The 25,771-nt window shown below is 39.4% G+C and overlaps 1 pseudogene; it reads right to left on the reverse strand.

Annotated features, from left to right (window-relative positions):
* Positions 1 to 21,986: 21,986 nt before the first annotated feature.
* On the reverse strand, positions 21,987 to 24,907 carry BCLAF1P2 (BCL2 associated transcription factor 1 pseudogene 2; annotated as a pseudogene).
* Between the last annotated feature and the right edge of the window lie 864 nt (positions 24,908 to 25,771).

Raw genomic sequence — 25,771 nt, forward strand, 5'->3', positions numbered from 1 at the left:
TTTTTGAAGTATCTGCAAGTGGAAATTTTAGCACTTTGAGGCCTATGGTGAAAAAGGAAATATCTTGACATAAAAACTAGACAGAAGCATTCTCAGAAACTTCTTTTTGATATGTGTACTCAACTCACAGTGTTGAACATTTCTTTTGATACAGCGGTTTTGAAACTCTCTTTTTGTAGAATCTGCAAGATGATATTAGGATAACTTTGAGGCTTTTGTTGGAAACGGGAATATCTTCACATAAAAACTAGACAGAAGCATTCTCTGAAACTTCTTTGTGATGTTTCGATTCAACTCACAGACTTAAACATGCCCTTTCATAGAGCAGTTCTGAAACACTCTTTTTGTAGTATCTGGAAGGGGACACTTGGTGCGCTTTTGGGCCTATGGTGAAAAAGGAAATATCTTCACGTAAAAACTAGACAGAAGCATTCTCAGAAACTTCTTTGTGATGTGTGTACTCAACTCACGGAGTTGAACTTTTCTTTTGATAGAGCCGTAGTGAAACACTCTTTTTGTAGTATCTGCAAGTGGATATTTTGTTAGCTTTGAGGCTTTCGTTGGAAACGGGAATATCTTCTCATAAAAACTAAACAGAAGCATTCTCAGAAACTTCTTTGTGATGCTTGCATTGAACTCACAGAGTTGAACATTCCTTTTCATAGAGCACTTTTGAAACACTCTTTTTGTAGAATCTGCAAGTGGAAGCTTGGAGCGCTTTGAGGCCTATGGTGAAATAGGAAATATCTTCCCATAAAAACTAGACAGAAGAATTCTCACAAACTTCTTTGTGATGTGTGTTCTCAACTCACAGAGTTGATCTTTTCTTTTGATAGAGTAGTTTTGAAATACTGGTTTTGTAGGGTCTGCAAGTGGATATATGGATAGCTTTGAGGATTTCTTTGTAAAACGGAATATCTTCTCCTTAAAGCTAGACAGAAGCATTCTCAGAAACTTCTTTGTGATGTTTGGACTCAACTCACAGAGTTGAATATTCCCTTTCATAGAATAGTTTTGAAACACACTTTTTGTAGTATCTGAGAGTGGACATTTGGTGTGCTTTGAGGCCTACAGTGAAAAAGGAAATATCTTCACATAAAAACTAGACAGAAGCATTCTCAGAAACTTCTTTATGATGTATGTACTCAACTCACAGTGTTGAACATTTATTTATTTATTTATTTATTTATTTATTTTTGTTGATCATTCTTGAGTGTTTCTCGCAGAGGGGGATTTGGCAGAGTCATAGGACAATAGTGGAGGGAATTTCAGTAGATAAACAAGTGAACAAAGGTCTGTGGTTTTCCTAGGCAGAGGACCCAGCGGCCTTCCGCGGGTGTTTGTCTCCCTGGGTACTTGAGATTAGGGAGTGATGATGACTCTTAAGGAGCATGCTGCCTTCAAGCATCTGTTTAACAAAGCACATCTTGCACAGCCCTTAATCCATTTAACCCTGAGTGGACACAGCACAAGTTTCAGAGAGCACAGGGTTGGGGGTAAGGTCATAGATCAACAGCATCCCAATGCAGAAGAATTTTTCTTAGTACAGAACAAAATGAAGTCTCCCATGTCTACTTCTTTCTACACAGACACAGCAACAATCTGATTTCTCTAACTTTTCCCCACCTTTCCCCCTTTTCTATTCCACAAAACCACCATCATCATCATGGCCCGTTCTCAATGAGCTGTTGGGTCCACATCCCAGACGGGGTGGCGGCCGGGCAGAGGGGCTCCTCACTTCCCAGAAGGGGCGGCCGGGCAGAGGTGCCCCCCACCTCCAGGACAGGGTGGCTGGCCGGGCGGAGGTGCCCCCCACTTCCCTCCCGGATGGGGCGGCTGGCCGGGCGGGGGCTGACCCCCCACCTCCCTACCAGATAGGGTGGCTGGCCGGGTGGGGACTGACCACCCACCTCCCTCCCGGACGGGGCGGCTGGCCGGGTGGGGGCTGACCACCCACCTCCCTCATGGACGGGGTGGCTGGCCGGGCAGGGGCTGACCCCCCATCTCCCTCCCAGATGGAGTGGCTGGCTGGGCGGGGGCTGTCCCCCACCTCCCTCCCAGGCGGGGTGGCTGCCGGGTGGAGATGTTCCTCACTTCCCAGACGGGGTGGCTGCTGGGTGGAGGGGCTCTTCACATCTCAGACAGGGCAGCTGCTGGACAGAGGGGCTCCACACTTCTCAGATGGGGCAGCTGCTGGGCAGAGGGGCTCCTCACTTCTCAGGCGGGGTGGCTGCCGGGTGGAGGGGCTCCTCACCTCTCTAATGGGGTGGCCAGGCAGAGATGCTCCTCACCTCCCAGACGGGATTGCAGCTGGGCTGAGGCACTCCTCACATCCCACACGGGGTGGAGGGGCAGAGGTGCTCCCCACATCTCAGACGATGGGTGGCTGGGCAGAGATGCTCCTCACTTCCTAGATGGGATGGCGGCCGGGAAGAGGCGCTCCTCACTTCCTAGACTGGGCAGCCGGGCAGAGGGGTTCCTCACATCCCAGATGACGGGTGGCCAGGCAGAGACACTCCTCACTTCCAAGACGGGGTGGCGGCTTGGCAGAGGCTGCAATCTTGGCTCTTCAGGAGGCCAAGGCAGGCAGCTGGGAGGTGGAGGTTGTAGCCAGCCGAGATCATGCCACTGCACTCCAGCCTGGGCAACATTGAGCACTGAGTGAACGAGACGCCATCTGCAATCCCAGCACCTCGGGAGGCCAAGGCTGGCAGATCACTCACGGTTAGCAGCTGGAGACCAGCCCGGCCAACACAGTGAAACCCTGTCTCCACCAAAAAAAATACGAAAACCAGTCAGGCGTGGCGGCATGCACGTGCAATCGCAGGCACTCAGCAGGCTGAGGCAGGAGAATCAGGCAGGGAGGTTGCAATGAGCCGAGATGGCAGCAGTACAGTCCAGCTTCGGCTCGGCATCAGAGGGAGACAGTGGAAAGAGAGGGAGAGGGAGGCCATGTGGAGATGGAGACAGAGGGAGAGGGAGAGGAAGAGGGAGAGGGAAAGGGAGACCGTGTGGAGATGGAGACAGAGGGAGAGGGAGAGGAAGAGGGAGAGGGAAAGGGAGACCGTGCAGAGAGGGAGACAGAGGGAGAGGGAGAGGGAGAGGGAGAGGGATGAACATTTCTTTTCATACAGCAGTTTTGAAATACTCTTATTGTAGAATCTGCAAGTTAATATTTGGATAGATTTGAGGCTTTCGTTGGAAACGGGAATATCTTCTCATAAAAACTAAACAGAAGCATCCTCAGAAACTTCTGGTGATGCTTGAATTCAACTCACAGAGTTGAACATGGCTTTCCATAGAGCAGTTTTGAAACACTCTTTCTGCAGAATCTTCAAGTTGACATTTGGATAGATATGAGGCTTTCATTGGAAACGGGAATATCTTCACATAAAAACTAGACAGAAGCATTCTCAGAGACTTCTTTGTGATGTTTGCATTCAACTGACAGAGTTGAACATTCCCTATCATAGAACAGTTCTGAAACACTCTTTTTCGAGTAACTGGAAGTGGACATTTGGAGCGCTTTGAGGCCTATGGTGGAAAAGGAAATATCTTCACATAAAAACTTCACAGAAGCATTCTCAGAAAATACTTTGTGATGTGTGTACTCAACTCACAGAGCTGGACATTTCTTTTGATACAGCAGTTTTGAAACATTCTTTTTGTAGAATCTGCAAGTGGATATTTGGATAGCCTTGAGGCATTCGTTGGAAAAGGGAATATCTTCCCATAAAAACTAGACAGAAGCATTCTCAGAAACTTCTTTGTCATGCTTGCATTCAACTCACGGATTTGAACATTCCTTTTAATAGAGCAGCTTTGAAACACTCTTTTTGTAGAATCTGTAAGTGGAAACTTGGAGGGCTTTGAGGCCTATGGTGAAAAAGGAAATATCTTCCCATAAAAACTAGACAGAAGAATTCTCAGAAACTTCTTTGTGATGTGTGCTCTCAAATCACAGAGTTGATCTTTTCTTTTGATAGAGCAGTTTTGAAACACTAGTTTTGTAGAGTCTGCAAGTGGGTATTTGGATAGCTTTGAGGATTTCTTTGGAAAAGGGAATATCTTCACATAAAAACTAGACAGAAGCATTCTCAGAAACTACTTTATGATGTTTGGATTCAACTCACAGAGTTGAATACTCCCTTTCATAGAGCAGTTTTGAAACACACTTTTTGTAGAATCTGTAAGTGGAAACTTGGAGTGCTTTGAGGCCTGTGGTGAAAAAGGAAATATCTTTCCATAAAAACTAGACAAAAGAATTCTCAGAAACTTCTTTGTGATGTGTGTTCTCATCTCACAGAGTTGAGCTTTTCTTTTGATAGAGCAGTTTTGAAAAACTCTTTTTGCAGAGTCTGCAAGTGGATATTTGGCTAGCTGTGATGAATTCAATGGAAACGGGAATATCTTCATGTAAAAACAAGACAGAAGCACTCTCAGAAACTTCTTTGTGAGGTTTGCATTCAACTGACAGATTTGAACATTCCCTATCATCGAACAGTTTTGAAACACTCTTTTTGTAGTATCTGGAAGTGGACATTTCAAGCGCTTTGAGGCCTACGGTGAAAAAGGAAATATCTTCACATAAAAACTAGACAGAAGCATTCTCAGAAAATACTTTGTGATGTGTGTACTCAACTCACAGAGTTGAACATTTCTTTGGAACGGCAGTTTTGAAACATTCTTTTTGTAGAATCTGCAAGTGGATATTTGGATAGCCTTGAGGCTTTCGTTGGGAACGGGAATATCTTCAAACAAAAACTAAACAGAAGCATTCTCAGAAGCTTCTTTGTGATGCTTGCATTCAACTCACAGATTTGAACATTCCTTTTAATAGTGCAGCTTTGAAACACTCTTTTTGTAGAATCTGTAAGTGGAAACTTGGAGAGCTTTGAGACCTATGGTGAAAAAGGAAATATCTTCCCATAAAAACTAGACAGAAGAATTCTCAGAAACTGCTTTGGGATGTGTGTTCTCAACTCACAGAGGTGCGCTTTTCTTTTGATAGAGCAGATTGAAACACTCTTTTTGTAGAGTCTGCAATTGGATATTTGGATAGCTTTGAGGATTTCGCTGGAAACGGGAATATCTTCACATAAAAACTAGACAGAATCATTCTCAGGAACTTCTTTATGAAGTTTGATTTCAACTCAAAGAGTTGAACACTCCCTTTCATAGGGCAGTTTTGAAACACACTTTTTCTACTATGTGGAAGTGGACATTTGGAGCTCTTTGAGGCCTATGGTGAAAAAGGAAATATCTTCACATAAAAACAAGACAGAAGCATTCTCTGAAACTTCTTTGCGGTGTATGTACTCAACTCACAGAGTTGAACATTTCTTTTGACACAGCGGTTTTGAAACTCTCTTTTTGTAGAGTCCGCAAGTTGATATTTGGATAGCTTTGAGGCTTTCGTTGGAAATGGGAGTATCTTCACATAAAAACTAGACAGAAGCATTCTCAGAAACTTCTTTGTGATGCTTGCATTCAACTCGCAGAGTTGAACATTCCTTTTCATAGAGCAGTTTTGAAACACTCTTTTTGAAGTATCTGAAACTGGAAATTTTAGCGCTTTGGGGCCTATGGTGAAAAAGAAATATCTTCCCATAAAAAATAGACAGAAGAATTCTCAGAAATTACTTTGTGATGTTTGCATTCAACTCACAGAGTTGAATATTCCCTTTCATAGAGCAGTTTTGAAACACTCTTTTTGTAGTATCTCGAAGTGGACATTTGAGCGCTTTGAGGCCTATGGTGAAAAAGGAAATATCTTTTCACATAAAAACCAGACAGAAGCATTCTCAGAAACTACTTTGAGATGTGTGCACTCACCACACAGAGTTGAACATTTCTTTTGATACAGCTTTTTTGAAAGATTCTTTTTGTAGAGTCTGCAAGTGGATATTTGGATAGCCTTGAGGCTTTCGTTGGAAACGGGAATATCTTCCCATAAAAACAAGACAGAAGCATTCTCAGAAACTTCTTTGTGATGCTTGCATTCAACTCACAGATTTGAACGTTCGTCTTAATAGAGCAGCTTTGAAACACTCTTTTTGTAGAATCTGTAAGTGGAAACTTGGAGAGCTTTGTGACCTATGGTGAAAAAGGAAATATCTTCCCATAAAAACTAGACAGAAGAATTCTCAGAAACTTCTTCGTGTTGTGCATTCTCAACTCACAGAGTTGAGCTTTACTTTTGATAGAGTAGTTTTGAAACACTATTTTTGTAGAGTATGCAAGTGGATATTTGGATAGCTTTGAAGATTTCGTTGGAAATGGGAATATCTTCACATAAAAACTAGACAGAAGCATTCTTAGGAGCTTCTTTATGATGTTTGCTTTCAACTCACAGAGCTGAACATTCCCTTTCATAGGGCAGTATTGAAACTCTCTTTTTGTACTATCTGGAAGTGGACATTTAGAGCGCTTTGAGGCCTATGGTGAAAAAGGAAATATCTTCACATAAAAAGTAGACAGAAGCATTCTCAGAAACTTCTTTGCGATGGGTGTACTCAACTCACAGAGTTGAACATTTCTTTTGACACAGCGGTTTTGAAACTCTCTTTTTGTAGAATCTGCCAGTTGATATTAGGATAACTTTGAGGCTTTTGTTGGAAATGGGAATATCATCACATAAAAACTAGAGAGAAGCATTCTCTGAAACTTCTTTGTGATGTTTTGATTGAACTCACAGAGCTGAATGTGCCTTTTCATAGAGCAGCTCTGAAACACTCTTTTTGCAGTATCTGGAAGGGGACACTTGATGGGCCTTTGGGCCTATGGTGAAAAAGGAAATATCTTCACATAAAAACTAGGCAGAAGCATTCTCTGAAACTTCTTTGTGATGTTTCGATTCAACTCACAGAGTTGAACATACCCTTTCATAGAGCAGTTCTGAAACACTCTTTTTATAGTATCTGGAAGGGGACAATTGGTGCGATTTTTTGCCTATCTTGAAAAAGGATATATCTTCACGTAAAAACTAGGCAGAAGCATTCTCAGAAACTTCTTTGTGATGTGTGTACTCAACTTACGGAGTTGAACCTTTCTTTGGATGCAGCAGTATTGAAACACACTTTTTGTAGTATCTGCAAGTGGATATTTTGTTATCTATGAGGCTTTCGTTGGAAATGGGAATATCTTCTCATAAAAACTAAACAGAAACATTCTCAGAAACTTCTTTATGATGCTTGCATTCAACTCACGGAGTTGAATATTCCTTTTCATAGAGCAGTTTTGAAACACTCTTTTTGTAGAATCTGTAAGTGGAAGCTTGGAGCGCTTTGAGGCCTATGGTGAAAAAGGAAATATCTTCCCATAAAAACTAGATGGAAGAATTCTCACAAACTTCCTTGTGATGTGTGCTCTCAACTGACAGAGTTGATCTTTTCTTTTGATAGAGCGGTTTTGAAACACTAGTTTGTAGAGTCTGCAAGTGGATATTTGGATTACCTTTGAGGATTTCATCGGAAACTGTTATATTTTCACATAAAAACTAGACAGAAGCATTCTCAGAAACTTCTTTGTTATGTTTGGACTCAACTCACAGAGTTGAATATTCCCTTTCATAGAGTAGTTTTGAAACACCCTTTTTGTAGTATCTGGAAGTGGACATTTGGAGCGCTTTGTGGCCTATGGTGAAAAAGGAAATATTTTCACATTAAAAACTAGACAGAACCATTCTCACAAACTACTTTGTGATATCTGTACTCAACCCACAGAGTTGAACTTTTATTTGATACAGCAGTTATGGAAGATTCTTTTTGTAGTATCTGCAAGGGGATATTTGGATAGCTTTGAGGACTTCCTTGCAAATGAGAATATCTTCTTATATAAACAAACAGAAGCATTCTCAGGAACTTCTTTATCATGTTTGTTTTCAACTCACAGAGTTGAACATTCCATTTCATAGGGCAGTTTTGAAATAATCTTTTTGTGCTGTCTGGAAACGAACATTTGGAGGGCTTTGAGGTCTATGGTGAGAAAGGAAATATCTTCACATAAAAACTAGACAGAAGCATTCTCAGAAACTTCTATGAGATGTGTGTACTCAACTCAGAGAGTTGAACATATCTTTTAATACAGCAGTTTTGAAACTCTCTTTGTGTAGAATCTGCAAGTTGATATTAGGATAACTTTGAGGCTTTCTTTGGAAAAGGGAATATCTTCACATAAAAACTACACAGAAGCATTCTCTGAAACTTCTATGTGATGTTTCGATTGAATGCACAGATCTGAACATGCCTTTTCATAGAGCAGTTCTGAAACACTCTATTTGTAGTAACTGGAAGGGGACACTTTGTGAGCTTTTGGGCCTTTGGTGAAAAAGGTAATATCTTCACGTAAAAACTAGGCAGAAGCAATCTCAGAAACTAGTTTGTGATGTAGGTACTCAACTAACGGAGTTGAACCTTTCCTTGTATACAGCAGTATTGAAACACTCTTTTTGAAGTATCTGCAAGTGGGTGTTTTGTTAGCTTTGAGGATTTCGTTGGAAACGGGAAAATATTCATATAAAAACGAAACAGAAGCATTCTCAGAAACTTCTTTTTGATGCTTGCATTCAACTCACAGAGTTGAACATTCATTTTCATAGAGCAGTTTTGAAACACTCTTCTTGAAGAATCTGTAAGTGGATGCTTGCAGCGCTTTGAGGCCTGTGTTGAAAAAGGTAAGAATCTTCCGATGAAAATTACGCAGAAGAATTCTAACAAATTTCTTTGTGATGTGTGTTCCCAACTCACAGATTTGATATTTTCGTTTCATAGAGCAGTTTTGAAACACTAGTTTTGTAGAGTCTGCAAGTGGATATTTTGGTAGCTTTGAGGATTTATTTGGAAAAGGGAATATCTTCACATAAAAAGTACACAGAAGCATTCTCAGAAACTTCTTTGTGATGTTTGGACTCAACTAACCGATTTGAATATTCCCTTTCATAGAGCACTTTTGAAACACTCTTTTTGGAGTATCTGGAAGAGGACATTTGGAGCGATTTGAGGCCTATGGTGAAAAAGGAAATATCTACCCAAGAAAAGTAGACAGAAACATTCTCAGAAACTTGTTTGTGATATGTGTACTCAACTAACACAGTTGAACCTTTCATTTGATAGAGCAGTTTTGAAACACTCTTTTTGTAGAATCTGCAAGTGGACACTTGGATAGCTTTGAATATTTCGTTGGAAACGGGAATATCTTCATATAAAAGTAGACAGAAGCATTCTCAGGAACTTCTTTGTGATATTTGCATTCAAGCCACAGAGTTGAACATTCCCTTTCATAGTGCAGGTTTGAAACACTCTTTTTGTAGTATCCGGAAATGGACATTTGGAGCACAATGAGGCCTATGGTGAAAAGGAAATATCTTCCCATAAAAACTAGACTGAAGCATTCTCAGAAACTTCTTTGTGATGTGTGAACTCAACTAACAAAGTTGAAACTTTCTTTAGATAGAGCAGTATTGAAACACTCTTTGTGTAGAATCTGAAATTGGATATATAGATAGCTTACAGGATTTAGTTGGAAAAGGGAATATCTTCATATAAAATCTAGACAGAAGCATTCTGAGAATCATCTTTCTGATGTTTGCATTCAAGTCACAGAGTTGAACATTCCTTTTCATAGAACAGGTTTGAAACACTCTTTTTGTAGTATCAGGAAGTGGACATTTGGAGCGCTCTGAGGCCGATGGCGAAAAAGGAAATCTATTCCCATAAAAACTAGACAGAAGCATTCTGAAAAACGTGTATTTGATGTGTGTACTCAACTAACAGAGTTGAACCTTTCTTTTGATAGAGCAGTTTTGAAATACTCTTTTTGTAGAATCTCCAAGTGGATATTTGGATAGCTTTGAGGATTACGGTGGAAACGGGAATATCTTAATATAAAAAGTGGACAGAAGCATTCTCAGAAAATCCTTTGTGATGTTCTGTATTCAAGTCACGGAGTTGAACATTCTCTTTCACAGAGCAGGTTTGAAACACACTTTTTGTAGTATCTGGAAGTGAACATTTGGAGCGCATTGAGGCCTATGCTGAAAAAGGAAATATCTTCCCATAAAAACTAGCCAGAAGCATTCTCAGAAACTTGTTTGTGATGTATGTACTCATCTAACAGAGTTGAACCTTTCTTTTGATAGAGCAGTTTTGAAACACTCTTTTTGTAGAATCTGCAACTGGATATTTGGATAGCTTTGAGGATTTCCTTGGAAACGGGAATATCTTCATATAAAATCTACATAGAAGCATTCTCAGAAACATCTTTGTGATTTTTGCATTCAAGTCACAGAGTTGAACATTCCCTTTCATAGAGCAGGTTTGAAACACTCTTTTTGTAGTATCTGGAAGTGGACATTTGGAGCGCATTGAGCCCTACAATGAAAAAGGAAATATCTTCCCTTAAAAACTAGACAGAAGTGTTCTCAGAAACTTGTTTATGATGTGTGCACTCAGCAAACGGAGTTCAACCTTTCTTTGATAGAGCAGTTTTGAAACACTCTTTTTGTAGAATCTGCAAGTGCATATTGAGATAGCTTTGAGGATTTCGTTGGAAACGGGAATATCTTAATGTAAACTGTAGACAGAAGCATTTTGAGAAAAATCTTTGTGATGCTTGCATTCAAGTCACAGAGTTGAACATTCCCTTTCATAGAGCAGGTTTGAAACCCTCTTTTTGTAGTATCTGGAATTGGACATTTGGTGCGCTATGAGGCCAATGGTGAAAAAGGAAATATCTTCACATAAAAACTAGACAGAGGCATTATCAGAAACTTCTATGTGATGTGTGTACTCATCTCAGAGGTTTGAACATTGCTTTTTTACAGTGGTTTTGAAGCTCTCTTTTTGTAGAATCTACAAGTATATATTGGGATATCTTTGAGGCTTTCATTGGAAACGGGAATATCTTCACATAAAAACTAGACAGAAGCATTCTCAGAAACTTCTTTGTGATGTGTGTACTCAACTGATAGAGTTGAAGCTTTCTTTTTATAGAGAAGTTTTGAAACACTCTTTTTGTAGATTCTGCAATTGGATATTTGGATAGTCTTGAGGATTTCATTGGAAACGGGAATATCTTCATATAAAAGTCAAACAGAAGCATTCTCAGAAACTTCTTTCTGATGTTTGCATTCAAGTCACAGAGTTGAACATTCCCTTTCACGGAGCAGGTTTCAAACAGTCTTTTTGTAGTATCTGGAAGTGGACATTTGGAGCGCTTTGAGGCCTATGGTGAAAAAGGAAATATATTCCCATAAAAACTAGACAGAAGGATTCTCTGAAACTTGTTTGTGATATGTGTACTCAATAATGGGAGTTGAACATTTCTTTTGATAGAGCAGTTGTCAAACACACTTTCAGTAAAAACTGCATCTGGATATTGGGATAGCTTTGAGGATTTCGTTGGGAACAGGAATTACTTCATATAAAATCTAGACAGAAGCATTCTCGGAAACTACTATGTGATGTTTGCATTCAAGTCACAGAGTTTAACATTCCCTTTCATAGAGCAGGTTTGAAACACTCTTTTTATAGTATCTGGAAGTGGACATTTGGAGCACTTCGAGGCCAATGGTGAAAAAGAAGTATTCTCCCCATAAAAACTAGACAGAAGCATTCTCAGAAACTTGTTTCTGATGTGTGTACTCAACTAACAGAGTTGAACCTTTCTTTTGATAGAGCAGTTTTGAAACACTCTTTTTGTAGGTTCTGTAAGTGGATATTTGGATAGATTTGAGGATTTCGGAGGAAACGGGAAAAACTTCATATAAAAAGGAGACAGAAGCATTTTAAGAAACTTCTTTGTGATGTTTGCATTCAAGTCCCAGAGTTGAACATTCCCTTCCATAGATCAGGTTTGAAACACTCTTTTTGTTGTATCTGGAAGTGGACATTTGGAGAGCTTTGAGGCCTATGTTGAAAAAGGAAACATCTTCCCATAAAAACTAGACAGAAGCATTCTCAGAAACTTGTTTGTCCTGTGTGTACTCAACTATCAGTTTTGAAGCTTTCTTTTAATAAAGCAGTTTCCAACTCCCTTTTAGAAGAATCTGCAAGTGGATATTTGGATAGCTTTGAGGATTTATTTGGAAACGGGAATAGCTTCATATAAAATGTAGACAGAAGTATTCTCGGAAACTACTTTGCGATGCTTGCATTCAAGTCACAGAGTTTAACATTCCCTTTCATAGAGCACGTTTGAAACACTCCTTTTATAGTATCTAGAAGTGGACATTTGGAGCGCTTTGAGGCCTATGGTGAAAAATAAAAATTCTTCCCATAAAATCTAGACTGAAGCATTCTCAGAAACTTGTTCCTGATGTGTACTCAACTAACAGAGTTGAACTTTTCTTTTGATAGGGCAGTTTTGAAACATCCTTTTTGTGGAATCTGCGATTGGATATTTGGATTGCATTGAGTATTTCGTTGGAAACGGGAATATCTCTATAAAAAAGAAGAAGCATTCTCAGAAACTTCTTTCTGATGTTTGCATTCAAGTCACAGAGATGAACATTCCCTTTCACAGAGCAGGTTTGAAACAGTCATTTTATAGTATCTGGAAGTGGACATTTGGATCGCTTTGAGGCCTATGGTGAAACAGGAAATATCTTCCCCTAAAATCTAGACAGAGGAATTCTCCGAAACTTGTTTGGGATGTGTGAACTCAACTAACAGTGTTGAACTTTTTTTTGATAGAGCAGTTTTCAAACACTCTTTTTGTAAAATCTGCAAGTGGATATTTGGATAGCTTTGAGGATTTCATTGGAAACGGGATTATCTTCATATAAAAAGTAGACAGAAGAGTTCTCAGAAAAGTCGTTGTGACGTTTGCATTCAAGTACCAGAGTTCAACATTCCCTTTCACAGAGCAGGTTTGAAACATTCTTTTTATAGTATCTGGTAGTGGACATTTGGAGCGCCTTGAGGCCTTTGTTGGAATAGCAGACCTCTTCCCATAAAAACAAGACAGAAGCATTCTCAGAAACTTGTTTGTCATGTGTTTAATCAACTAACAGTGTTGAACCTTTCTTTTATTAGATCAGTTTTCAAATCTCTTTTAGAAGAATCTGCAAGTGGATATTTGGATAGCTCTGAGGACTTTGTTGGAAACGGGAATAGCTTCATATAAAATGTAGACAGAAGTATTCTCGGAAACTACTTTGTGATGTTTGCATTCAACTCACAGAGTTTAACATTCCCTTCCATGGAGCAGGATTGAAAACCTTTTTCTATAGTATCTGGAAGTGGATATTTAGAGCGCTTTGAGGCCTATGGTAAAAAATAAAAATTCTTCCCATAAAATCTAGACTGAAGCATTCTCAGAAACTTGTTTCTGATGTGTGTACTCAACTAACAGAGTTGAACCTTTTTTTTGATAGAGCAGTTTTGAAACACACTTTTTGTGGAATCTGCAAGTGGATATTTGGATTGCTTTGAGGATTTCTTTGGAAAGGGGAATACATCTATATAAAAAGAAGAAGCATTCTCAGAAAATTCTTTCTGATGTTTGCATTCAAGTCACAGAGTTGAACATTTCATTTCACAGAGCAGGTTTGAAACAGACTTTTATAGTATCTGGAAGCAGACAGTTGGAGCGCTTTGAGGCCTATTGTGGAATAGGAAATCTCTTCCCATAAAAACTAGACAGAAGCATTCTCAGAACCTTGTTTGTCATGTGCCTAGTCAACTAACAGAGTTGAACCTTTCTTTTGATAGAGCCGATCTGAAACACTCTGTTTGTAGAATCTGCAAGTGGATATTTGGATAGATTTGAAGATATCGTTGGAAACGGGAATATCATCATATAAAATCTAGACAGATGCATTCTCAGAAACTTCTTTATGATGATTGCATTCAAGTCACAGAGTTCAATATTCCCTTTCATAGAGCAGGTTTCAAACACTCTTTTTGTAGGATCTGGAAGTTGACATTTAGAGCGCTTTGAGGCCTACGGTGAAAAAGGAAATTTCTTCCCATAAAAAGTAGACAGAAGCATTCTCAGGAACTTTTTTGTGATGTGTGTACACAACTAACAGAGTTGACCCTTTCTTTTGAGAGAGCAGTTTTGAAACACTCTTCTTGTAGGATCTGCAAGTGGATATTTGGATAGCTTTGAGGATTTCGGAGGAAACGGGAATATCTTTATATAAAAAGCAGACAGTAGCATTTTCAGAAACTTCTTTGTGATGTACGCATTCAAGTCCCAGAGTTGAACATTCCCTTCCGTGGAGCAGGTTTGAAACACTCTTTTTGTTGTATCTGGAAATGGACATTTGGAGCGCTTTGAGGCCTACGGTGAAAAAGGAAACATCTTCCCATAAAAACTAGACAGAAGCATTCTCAGAAACTTGTTTGTCATCTGTGTACTCAACTAACAGTGTTGGAGCTTTCTTTTAATGAAGCAGTTTTCAAACTCTCTTTTAGAAGAATCTGCAAGTGGATATTTGGATAGCGTTGAGGATTTCGTTGGAAACGGGAATAGCTTCATATAAAATCTCGACAGAAGTATTCTCAGAAACTACTTTGTGATGTTTGCATTCAAGTCACAGAGTTTAACAATACCTTTCATAGAGAAGGTATGAAACACTCTTTTGGTGGTATCTGGAAGTGGACATTTGGAGCGCTTGTGGCCTATGGTGAAAAATAAAACTTCTTCCCATAAAAACAAGACTGAAGCATTCTCAGAAACTTGTTCCTCATGAGTGTACTCAACTAATAGAGTTGAACCTTTCTTTTGATAGAGCAGATTCAAACACGATTTTGTGGAATCTGCAAGTGGATACTTGGATTGCTTTGAGGATTTCGATGGAAACGGGAATATCTCTATATAAAAAGAAGAAGCATCCTCAGAAACCTCTTTATGATGTTTGCATTCAAGTCACAGAGTTGAACATTCCCTTTCACAGAGCAGGTATGAAACAGTCTTTTTATAATATATGGAAGTGGACATTTGGAGCGATTTGAGGCCTATGGTGAAAAAGGAAATATCTTCCCATAAAATCTAGACAGAAGGATTCTCAGAAACTTGTTTGGGATGTGTGTACTCAACTAACAGTGTTGAAACTTTGTTTTGATAGAGCAGCTTTCAAACACTCTTTTTGTAAAATCTGCAAGTGGATATTTGGACAGCTTTGAGGATTTCGTTGGAAACGGGATTCTCTTCATATAAAAAGTAGACGTAAGCCTTCTGAGAAACGTCTTTGTGATGTTTCCATTCAAGTCTCAGAGTTGAACATTCCCTTTCATAGAGCAGGTTTGAAACACTCATTTTGTAGTATCTGGAAGTGGACATTTGGAGCGCTTTGAGGCCTATGGTGGAATAGGAAATCTCTTCCCAAAAAAACTAGACAGAAGCATTCTCAGAAACTTGTTTGTCATGTGTCTACTCAACTAACAGAGTTGAACCTTTCTCTTGATAGAGCAGATCGGAAACACTCTGTTTGTAGAATCTGCAAGTGGATATTTGCATAGATTTGAGGATTTCGTTGGAAACGGGAATATCGTCATATGAAATCTAGACGGTTGCTTTCTCAGAAACTTCGTTATGATGATTGCATTCAAGTCACAGAGTTGAACATTCCCTTTCATGGAGCAGGTATGAAACACTCTTTTTGTAGAATCTGGAAGTGGACATTTGGAGTGCTTTGAGGCCTATGGTGAAAAAGGAAATCTCTTCCCATAAAAACTAGACAGAAGCATTCTCAGAAACTTGTTTGTCATGTGTGTACTCAACTAACAGTGTTGAAGCTTTCTTTTAATGAAGCAGTTTTCAAACTCTCTTTTAAAAGAATCTGGAAGTGGATATTTTGATAGCGTTCAGGATTTCATTGGAAACGGGAATAGCTTCATATAAAATGTCGACAGAAGTATTCTCAGAAACTACTTTGTGATGTTTGCATTCAAGTCACAGAGTTTAACAATCCCTTTCATAGAGAAGGTTTGAAACACTCTTTTTGTGGTATCTGGAAGTGGACATTTGGAGCGCTTGTGGTCTATGGTGAAAAATAAAACTTCTTCCCATAAAAACTAGACTGAAGCATTCTCAGAAACTTGTTCCTCATGAGTGTACTAAATTAATAGAGTTGAACCTTTCTTTTGGTAGAGCAGATTCAAAACACGCTTTTTGTGGAATCTGCAAGTGGATACTTGGATTGCTTTGAGGATTTCGTTGGAAACGGGAATATCTCTATATAAAAAGAAGAAGCATCCTCAGAAACTTCTTTATGATGTTTGCATTCAAGTCACAGAGTTGAACATTCCCTTTCACAGAGCAGGTACGAAACAGTCTTTTTATCGTATCTGGAAGTGGACATTTGGAGCGCTTTGAGGCCTATGGTGAAAAAGGAAATATCTTCCCATAAAATCTAGACAGAAGGATTCTCAGAAACTTGTTTGGGATGTGTGTACTCAACTAACAGTGTTGAAACTTTGTTTTGATAGAGCAGCTTTCAAACACTCTTTTTGTAAAATCTGCAAGTGGATATTTGGATAGCTTTGAGGATTTCATTGGAAACGGGATTATCTTCATATAAAAAGTAGACGTAAGCTTTCTGAGATACGTCTTTGTGATGTTCCCATTCAAGTCTCAGAGTTGAACATTCCCATTCATAGACCAGGTTTGAAACACTCTTTTTGTAGAATCTGGAAGTGGACATTTGGAGCGCTTTGAGGCCTCTGGTGGAATAGGAAATCTCTTCCCATAAAAACTAGACAGAAGTATTCTCAGAAACTTGTTTGTCATGTGTCTACTCAACTAACAGAGTTGAACCTTTCTCTTGATAGAGCAGATCGGAAACACTCCGTTTGTAGAATCTGCAAGTGGATATTTGCATAGCTTTGAGGATTTCGTTGGAAACGGGAATATCATCATATAAAATCGAGGCACATGCATTCTCAGAAACTTCGTTATGATGATTGCATTCAAGACACAGGGTTGAACATTCCCTTTCATAGAGCAGGTATGAAACACTCTTTTTGTAGAATCTGAAGTGGACATTTGGAGCGCTTGGAGGCCTATGGTGAAAAAGGAAATCTCTTCCCATAAAAACTAGACAGAAGCATTCTCAGAAACTTGTTTTTGATGTGTGTACTCAAGTAACAGAGTTGAACCTTTCTTTCGATAGAGCAGTTTTGAAACACTCTTGTTATACAATCCGCAAGTGGATATTTGGATTGCTTTGAGGATTTCGTTGGAAACAGGATTATCTCCATATGAAAAGAAGAAGCATCTCAGAAACTTCTTTGTGATGTTTAATTTCAAGTCACAGAGTTGAGCATTCCCTTTTACAGAGCAGGTTTGAAACAGTCTTTTTCTAGTATCTGGAAGTGGACATTCCGAAGGCTTTGAGGCCTATGGTGAAAAAGGAAATCTCTTCCCATAAAAAGTAGACAGAAGCATTCTCAGAAACTTGTTTGTGATGTGGGTACTCAACTAACAGGGTTGACCCTTTCTTTTGAGAGAGCAGATTTGAAACACTCTTTTTGCAGGATCTGCAAGTGGATATTTGGATAGCTTTGAGGATTTCGGAGGAAACGGGAATATCTTTATATAAAAAGCAGACAGAAGCATTTTCAGAAACTTCATTGTGATGTACGCATTCAAGTCCCAGAGTTGAACATTCCCTTCCGTGGAGCAGGTTTCAAACACTCTTTTTGTTGTATCTGGAAATGGACATTTGGAGCGCTTTGAGGCCTACGGTGAAAAAGGAAACATCTTCACATAAAAACTAGACAGAAGCATTCTCAGAAACTTGTTTGTCATGTGTGTAATCAACTAACAGTGTTGAAGCTTTCTTTTAATGAAGCAGTTTTCAAACTCTCTTTTAGAAGAATCTGCAAGTGGATATTTGGATAGCGTTGAGGATTTCGTTGGAAACGGGAATAGCTTCATATAAAATCTCGACAGAAGTATTCTCAGAATCTACTTTGTGATGTTTGCATTCAAGTCACAGAGTTTAACAATCCCTTTCATAGAGCAGGTTTGAAACACTCTTTTGGTGGTATCTGGAAGTGGGCATTTGGAGCGCTTGTGGCGTATGGTGAAAAATAAAACTTCTTCCCATGAAAACTAGACTGAAGCAGTCTCAGAAACTTGTTCCTCATCTGTGTACTCAACTAATAGAATTGAGCCTTTCTTTTGATAGAGCAGATTCGAAACACGCTTTTTGTGGAATCTGCAAGTGGATACTTGGATTGCTTTGGGGATTTCGTTGAAAACGGGAATATCTCTATATAGAAAGAAGAAGCATCCTCAGAAACTTCTTTGTGATGTTTGCGTTCAAGTCACAGAGTTGAACATTCCCTTTCATAGAGCAGGTTTGAAACAGTCTTTTTATAATATCTGGAAGTGGACATTTGGATTGCTTTGAGGCCTACGGTAAAAAAGAAAATATCTTCCCATAAAATCTAGACAGAATGATTCTCAGAAACTTGTTTGGGATGTGTGTACTCAACTAACAGTGTTGGAACTTTATTTTGATAGAGCAGCTTTCAAACACTCTTTTTGTAAAATCTGCAAGTGGATATTTGGACAGCTTTGAGGATTTCGTTGGAAACGGGATTATCTTCATATAAAAAGTAGACGTAAGCCTTCTGAGAAACGTCTTTGTGATGTTTCCATTCAACTCTCAGATTTGAACATTCCCTTTCATAGAGCAGGTTTGAAACACGCTTTTTGTAGTACCTGGAAGTGGACATTTGGAGCGCTTTGAGGCCTATGGTGGATAGGAAATCTCTTCCCATAAAAACTAGTCAGAAGCATTCTCAGAAACTTGTTTGTCATGTGTCTACTCAACTAACAGAGTTGAACCTTTCTCTTGATAGAGCAGATGGGAAACACTCTGTTTGTAGAATCTGCAAGTGGATATTTGCACAGCTTTGAGGATGTCGTTGGAAACGCGAATATCCTCATATAAAATCGAGGCACATGCATTCTCAGAAACTTCTTTATGATGATTGCATTCAAGTCACAGGGTTGAACATTCCCTTTCATAGAGCTGGTATGAAACACTCTTTTTGTGGAATCTGGAAGTGGACATTTGGAGCGCTTTGGGGCCTATGGTGAAAAAGGAAATCTCTTCCCATAAAAACTAGACAGAAGCATTCTCAGAAACTTGTTTTTGATGTGTGTACTCAACTAACAGAGTTGAACCTTTCTTTTGATAGAGCAGTTTTGAAACACTCTTGTTATAGAATCTGCAAGTGGATATTTGGATTGCTTTGAGGATTTCGTTGGAAACGGGATTATCTCCATATGAAAAGAAGAAGCATCTCAGAAACTTCTTTGTGATGTTTGCTTTCAAGTCACAGAGTTGAGCATTCCCTTTTACAGAGCAGGTTTGAAACAGTCTTTTTCTAGTATCTGGAAGTGGACATTCCGAAGGCTTTGAGGCCTATGGTGAAAAAGGAAATCTCTTCCCATAAAAAGTAGACAGAAGCATTCTCAGAAACTTGTTTGTGATGTGTGTACTCAACTAACAGAGTTGACCCTTTCTTTTGAGAGAGCAGTTTGGAAACACTCTTTTTGTAGGATCTGCAAGTGGATATTTGGATAGCTTTGAGGATTTTGGACGAAACGGGACTATCTTTATATAAAAAGCAGACAGAAGCATTTTCAGAAACTTCTTTGTGATGTACGCATTCAAGCCCCAGAGTTGAACATTCCCTTCCATGGAGCAGGTTTGAAACACTCTTTTTGTTGTATCTGGAAATGGACATTTGGAGCGCTTTGAGGCCTACGGTGAAAAAGGAAACATCTTCACATAAAAACTAGACAGAAGCATTCTCAGAAACTTGTTTGTCATGTGTGTACTCAACTAACAGTGTTGAAGATTTCTTTTAATGAAGCAGTTTTCAAACTCTCTTTTAGAAGAATCTGCAAGTGGTTATTTGGATAGCGTTGAGGATTTCGTTGGAAACGGGAATAGCTTCATATAAAATCTCGACAGAAGTATTCTCAGAAACTGATTTGTGATGTTTGCATTCAAGTCACAGAGTTTAACAATCCCTTTCATAGAGCAGGTTTGAAACACTCTTTTGGTGGTATCTGGAAGTGGGCATTTGGAGCGCTTGTGCCGTATGGTGAAAAATAAAACTTCTTCCCATAAAAACTAGACTGAAGCCTTCTCAGAAACTTGATCCTCATGTGTGTACTCAACTAATAGAGTTGAACCTTTCTCTTGATAGAGCAGATTCCAAACACGCTTTTTGTGGAATCTGCAAGTGGATAGTTGCATTGCTTTGAGGATTTCGTTGGAAACGGGAATATCTCCATATAGAAAGAAGAAGCATCCTCAGAAACTTCTTTATGATGTTTGCATTCAAGTCACAGAGTTGAACATTCCGTTTCACACAGCAGGTTTGACACAGTCTTTTTATAGTATCTGGAAGTGGACATTTGGAGCGCTTTGAGGCCTACGGTGAAAAAGGAAATATCTTCCCATAAAATAGACAGAAGGATTCTCAGAAACTTGTTTGGGATGTGTGTACTCAACTAACACTGTTGAAACTTTGTTTTGATACAGCAGCTTTCAGACACTCTTTTTGTAAAATCTGCAAGTGGATATTTGGACAGCTTTGAGGATTTCGTTGGAAACGGGATTCTCTTCATATAAAAAGTAGACGTAAGCCTTCTGAGAAACGTCTTTGTGATGTTTCCATTCAAGTCTCAGAGTTGAACATTCCCTTTCATAGAGCAGGTTTGAAACACGCTTTTTGTAGTATCTGGAAGTGTACATTTGGAGCGCTTTGAGGCCTATTGTGGATAGGAAATCTCTTCCCATAAAAACTAGACAGAAGCATTCTCAGAAACTTGTTTGTCATGTGTCTACTCAACTAACAGAGTTGAACTTTTCTCTTGATAGAGCAGATCGGAAACACTCTGTTTGTAGAATCTGCAAGTGGATATTTGCATAGCTTTGAGGATGTCGTTGGAAACGGGAATATCCTCATATAAAATCGGGACAGATGCATTCTCAGAAACTTCTTTATGATGATTGCATTCAAGTCACAGAGTTGAACATTCCCTTTCATAGAGCAGGTATGAAACACTCTTTTTGTAGAATCTGGAAGTGGACATTTGGAGCGCTTGGAGGCCTATGGTGAAAAAGGAAATCTCTTCCCATAAAAACTAGACAGAAGCATTCTCTGAAACAAGTTTTTGATGTGTGTACTCAACTAACAGAGTTGAACCTTTCTTTTGATAGAGCAGTTTTGAAACACTCTTGTTATAGAATCTGCAAGTGGATATTTGGATTGCTTTGAGGATTTCGTTGGAAATGGGATTATCTCCATATGAAAAGAAGAAGCATCTCAGAAACTTCTTTGTGATGTTTGCTTTCAACTCACAGAGTTGAGCATTCCCTTTTACAGAGCAGGTTTGAAACAGTCTTTTTCTAGTATCTGGAAGTGGACATTCCGAAGGCTTTGAGGCCTATGGTGAAAAAGGAAATCTCTTCCCATAAAAAGTAGACAGAAGCATTCTCAGAAACTTGTTTGTGATGTGTGTACTCAACTCACAGAGTTGACCCTTTCTTTTGAGAGAGCAGTTTGGAAACACTCTTTTTGTAGGATCTGCAAATGGATATTTGGATAGCTTTGAGGATTTCGGAGGAAACGGGAATATCTTTATATAAAAAGCATACGGAAGCATTTTCAGAAACTTCTTTGTGATGTACGCATTCAAGTCCCAGAGTTGAACATTCCCTTCCGTGGAGCAGGTTTGAAACACTCTTTTTGTTGTATCTGGAAATGGACATTTGGAGCGCTTTGAGGCCTACGGTGAAAAAGGAAACATCTTCACATAAAAACTAGACAGAAGCATTCTCAGAAACTTGTTTGTCAAGTGTGTAATCAACTAACAGTGTTGAAGCTTTCTTTTAATGAAGCAGTTTTCTTTTTTTTTTTACGTAACAATTTTCTACTTTATTTCAGTACAATTTTCAACATACAGTCTACTATTTATCAAGATATTTGAAGACTTACAACAAAATTTCTATAGACTACTTGCAAACAGTAAAATTTAAGTAAAATGCTTACATTCTTATTTGAAAACAAAAATCAGGTAAAAAAAAAAACGGTGGGTGCAAGTTCTGCTCTGTTGTAATCTTACTTCATATTTATTATTCCTTTTCTTCCTTGCATCTGTCCTTCTTTTCTTCATTATTTTCCATGGTCTCTTCTTCATCTTCAACAATCCCATCCCCTTGGTATTTGTCATGATTCCATTTAGGACTGCTACCTGATTTTTTGAAGTTAAAGCGCCCTCTGCCACGTTGAAAAGTACCACGACCTCTTCCTCTTTTGGCCCAATAATCCACACCATCATCTCTGTCGTCATGAAAGGTTCCTCGTGGTCGGCTAACTCCTGCAAAGCCTGAGTATTCTTTCATTTCATGGTGAGTTTTAAATTCTTCTTCTCTTTCCTTCTTACTCTCCTTTTCTTCTCGAGAACTGGGAGAAGAAGGTGATGCTGAAGAGGATGAAGATAGAGAATGATCTTGCTCTCTTTTATGTTTACTGTCATCTTTGTAAGATTTGTATTCCTTGTAATCTTTCGGAGTTTTTTCCTGCTTTCTTGATCCCCTGGATTCCCTGGAGCCCTTGGAATCTCCCCGTTCTTTACTTCTTTCTTTTCTACGGTGATCAATGTCATGTCGAAGGTCAGCAGAGTCACACCTTAATTTTTTATCTCCCTTTTGATTTTCTTCTTTAAAAACTCTCTCTTCCCCTGCTAAACGGGTATCCTTCCTCAGGGTACTTGGTGAGATGTCAATTCTCCTGTGTATTTCAGGGCTCTTTTGCCGAGTACTATGTTCTTCAGTGGCTTTCTGATACGAAGTGAACCGCTCGCTTAGGGTCATTGCAGCTGACTTGAAGTATTGCTCTTTAACATGATGAACCAAGGACACAATGTGTTGAATAAATGACTCTGAAGTGCTTTTGCTGGCCTGTGGCAACTTAATGTGGTCAAAGATGGATCGGAATTCTTGCTCCTTCTTGACAGAATGGACAAGTGTACTAGCAAGCAGCCTGTCTTTAGTCAAGGAAGCAGGTCTGTTAGAATCATCAAGAGGAACGGGTGCCATTTTGAGTTTGACTTCAGGACGGTGAGAATCACTCGCTATCATTTTGATCCTAAGTGGGCTTTCCTCTCTGAAGGTAGACTTTTCTCGTGCATCCAGATTCTTGTGTAGAGGGGGACTGTAATCAAAGAGGTCTTTGAGCTTTTCAGACTTTACCTGCTCAGGTGACTGAGTTTCTTTCTTTACTGTTATTCTTTCAGAATTTTTGTCTTCTTCTTTGTGCTTATCTTTTGTAGTGCTAGGCCTTTCCACCACATATCCAGTCTCTTTATGTTTATCATTTTTTTCTTCTCTAAATCCATCACTTTCTCTATTGCCTTTCAGTGAAACTTTGGACTTGTACTTGAGTCCTTCCTCCTCAGTATTCCGGTGAGATGCAGTAGCAAAACTTTTACCCTGATCTGCGAGGACTGACTTCCTGAACTGTCTATAATCCTCTGTCTCCTCTGTGTCATCCCCTTCTGAATCATTAAACTTTTGTTTTCCAGACTCTTTATCACTGAAGTAATCTAGAGCTTCCTGATCTTCCCATTCTCCCTCTGCCCTCCCTTTCTCTGATCCTTTCTCTTTTGAAGCCTCTTTATCCCTGGTATTACCCCTATCAAGCAGGAATACTCTAGACTCTTCATCTGTGAACCTTTTTAAGAACTTCCCAGTCTTTGCAGTTTCCTGATCTCCACCATCAGGATAAAACGAGGAACGGCCCCTAGACTCATCTCTTGGAGCATTCTGTGGTGCGATTGTCTTTGCAGGACTTCTTCGTGAAGGGATGTGATGAATTGGACTATTCTGAGAAGGACTGTATCGACTAGATCCATTTCCAACAGAACCAGACCCAGACCTTTCAGGACTATGCTGAATGGAATGTGAATGCTGAGAAGGAGTATTTTTTGCAGAGTGAACTGTACTGAGCATGGGAGCATCAGAGCAAGATGAACTCTGACTAGGTGGTGTAGCAATAGGTGAAGGACTATGGGGTGATCTAGGACTATATCATAAGCTGAAAGGCCAGGCCAAATATCACCGCATGTGGCTGACGACTTATTAAATTCATCGATAGACTCAGATGAGTCATGTTCAAATGTATCTTTCGGTTCCTCCTGTGATTTACTTTTCAACGGACTCTCTTCTTGGAGTTCCCCTTCAGCTTTTTTGGTTTGTTTTTCCTGAGACCCTCGTCTTTTAGAAACAGGAGATTTGCTATATGGGGATGAAGAACGAGAAGAGGATGATCTTGGAGACCTAGAAGATCTATATGACCGGCGAGATCTGCTTCTGGATCTTTGAGAAGAAACGGATCTTCTTTTTGGACTCCTGGAACGTGAACGACCTCGTCTAGGACTCCTAGAGTGCCTTCTATTCCAGACAGGTCTATAACCACCTCGATGATATCTACCTCCTCCTCCTTGATAATACCCTCTACCCCTTCCTCTGTACCCATAAGGTCGTCTCATTGCTCTATTATTTCTATAATCACGACGATAATCTCTAGAATACATACGATCTCTACTACGAGACCTTGAATATGTTCTGGAACGAGACCTGTATCGCTTCTTTCTAGAATGAGATCTTGATCTTGATCGAGAACTAGACTGTGATCTAGACTTTGACCTTGAAGAATGTGATCTAGAATTGGAGCGACCCATTTCTTTTCTCCTTGGGTTTATGCAGGATCAAGAAGTCAAGTGAAGTCTTTGAGATACTGTAAAAATTCTTCCTGGAGAGAATGCTCTGAGAAATTAAACTCTAAATTCGAATTCCTGACACGCCGAATCGCGGTTACGGGAATTTATCTCCGTTGCAACCACACAGCGGCCATTTCCCGATTCAAGAATGCGAGGAAAACTATAGAGCTACCTGAAGCAGTTTTCAAACTCTCTTTTAGAAGAATCTGCAAGTGGATATTTGGATAGCGTTGAGGATTTCGTTGGAAACGGGAATAGCTTCATATAAAATCTCGACAGAAGTATTCTCAGAAACTACTTTGTGATGTTTGCATTCAAGTCACAGAGTTTAACAATCCCTTTCATAGAGCAGGTTTGAAACACTCTTTTTGTGGTATCTGGAAGTGGGCATTTGGAGCGCTTGTGGCCTATGGTGATAAATAAAACTTCATCCTATGAAAACCAGACTGAAGCATTCTCAGAAACTTGTTCCTCATGTGTGTACTGAACTAATAGAGTTGAACCTTTCTTTTGATAGAGCAGATTCGAAACACGCTTTTTGTGGAATCTGCAAGTGGATACTTGGATTGCTTTGAGGATTTCGTTGGAAACGGGAATATCTCTATATAGAAAGAAGAAGCATCCTCAGAAACTTCTTTATGACGTTTGCATTCAAGTCACAGAGTTGAACATTCCCTTTCACAGAGCAGGTTTGAAACAGTCTTTTTATAGTATCTGGAAGTGGACATTTGGAGCGCTTTGAGGCCTATGGTGAAAAAGGAAATATCTTCCCATAAAATCTAGACAGAAGGATTCTCAGAAACTTATTTGGGATGTCTGTACTCAACTAACAGTGTTGAAAGTTTGTTTTGATAGAGCAGCTTTCACACACTCTTTTTGTAAACTCTGCAAGTGGATATTTGGACAGCTTTGAGGATTTCGTTGGAAACGGGATTCTCTTCATATAAAAAGTAGACGTAAGCCTTCTGAGAAACGTCTTTGTGATGTTTCCATTCAAGTCTCAGAGTTG

The sequence above is a fragment of the Homo sapiens genome, chromosome 16, assembly GCF_000001405.40.
Source record: "Homo sapiens chromosome 16, GRCh38.p14 Primary Assembly".
Taxonomy (NCBI): Eukaryota; Metazoa; Chordata; class Mammalia; order Primates; family Hominidae; genus Homo; species Homo sapiens.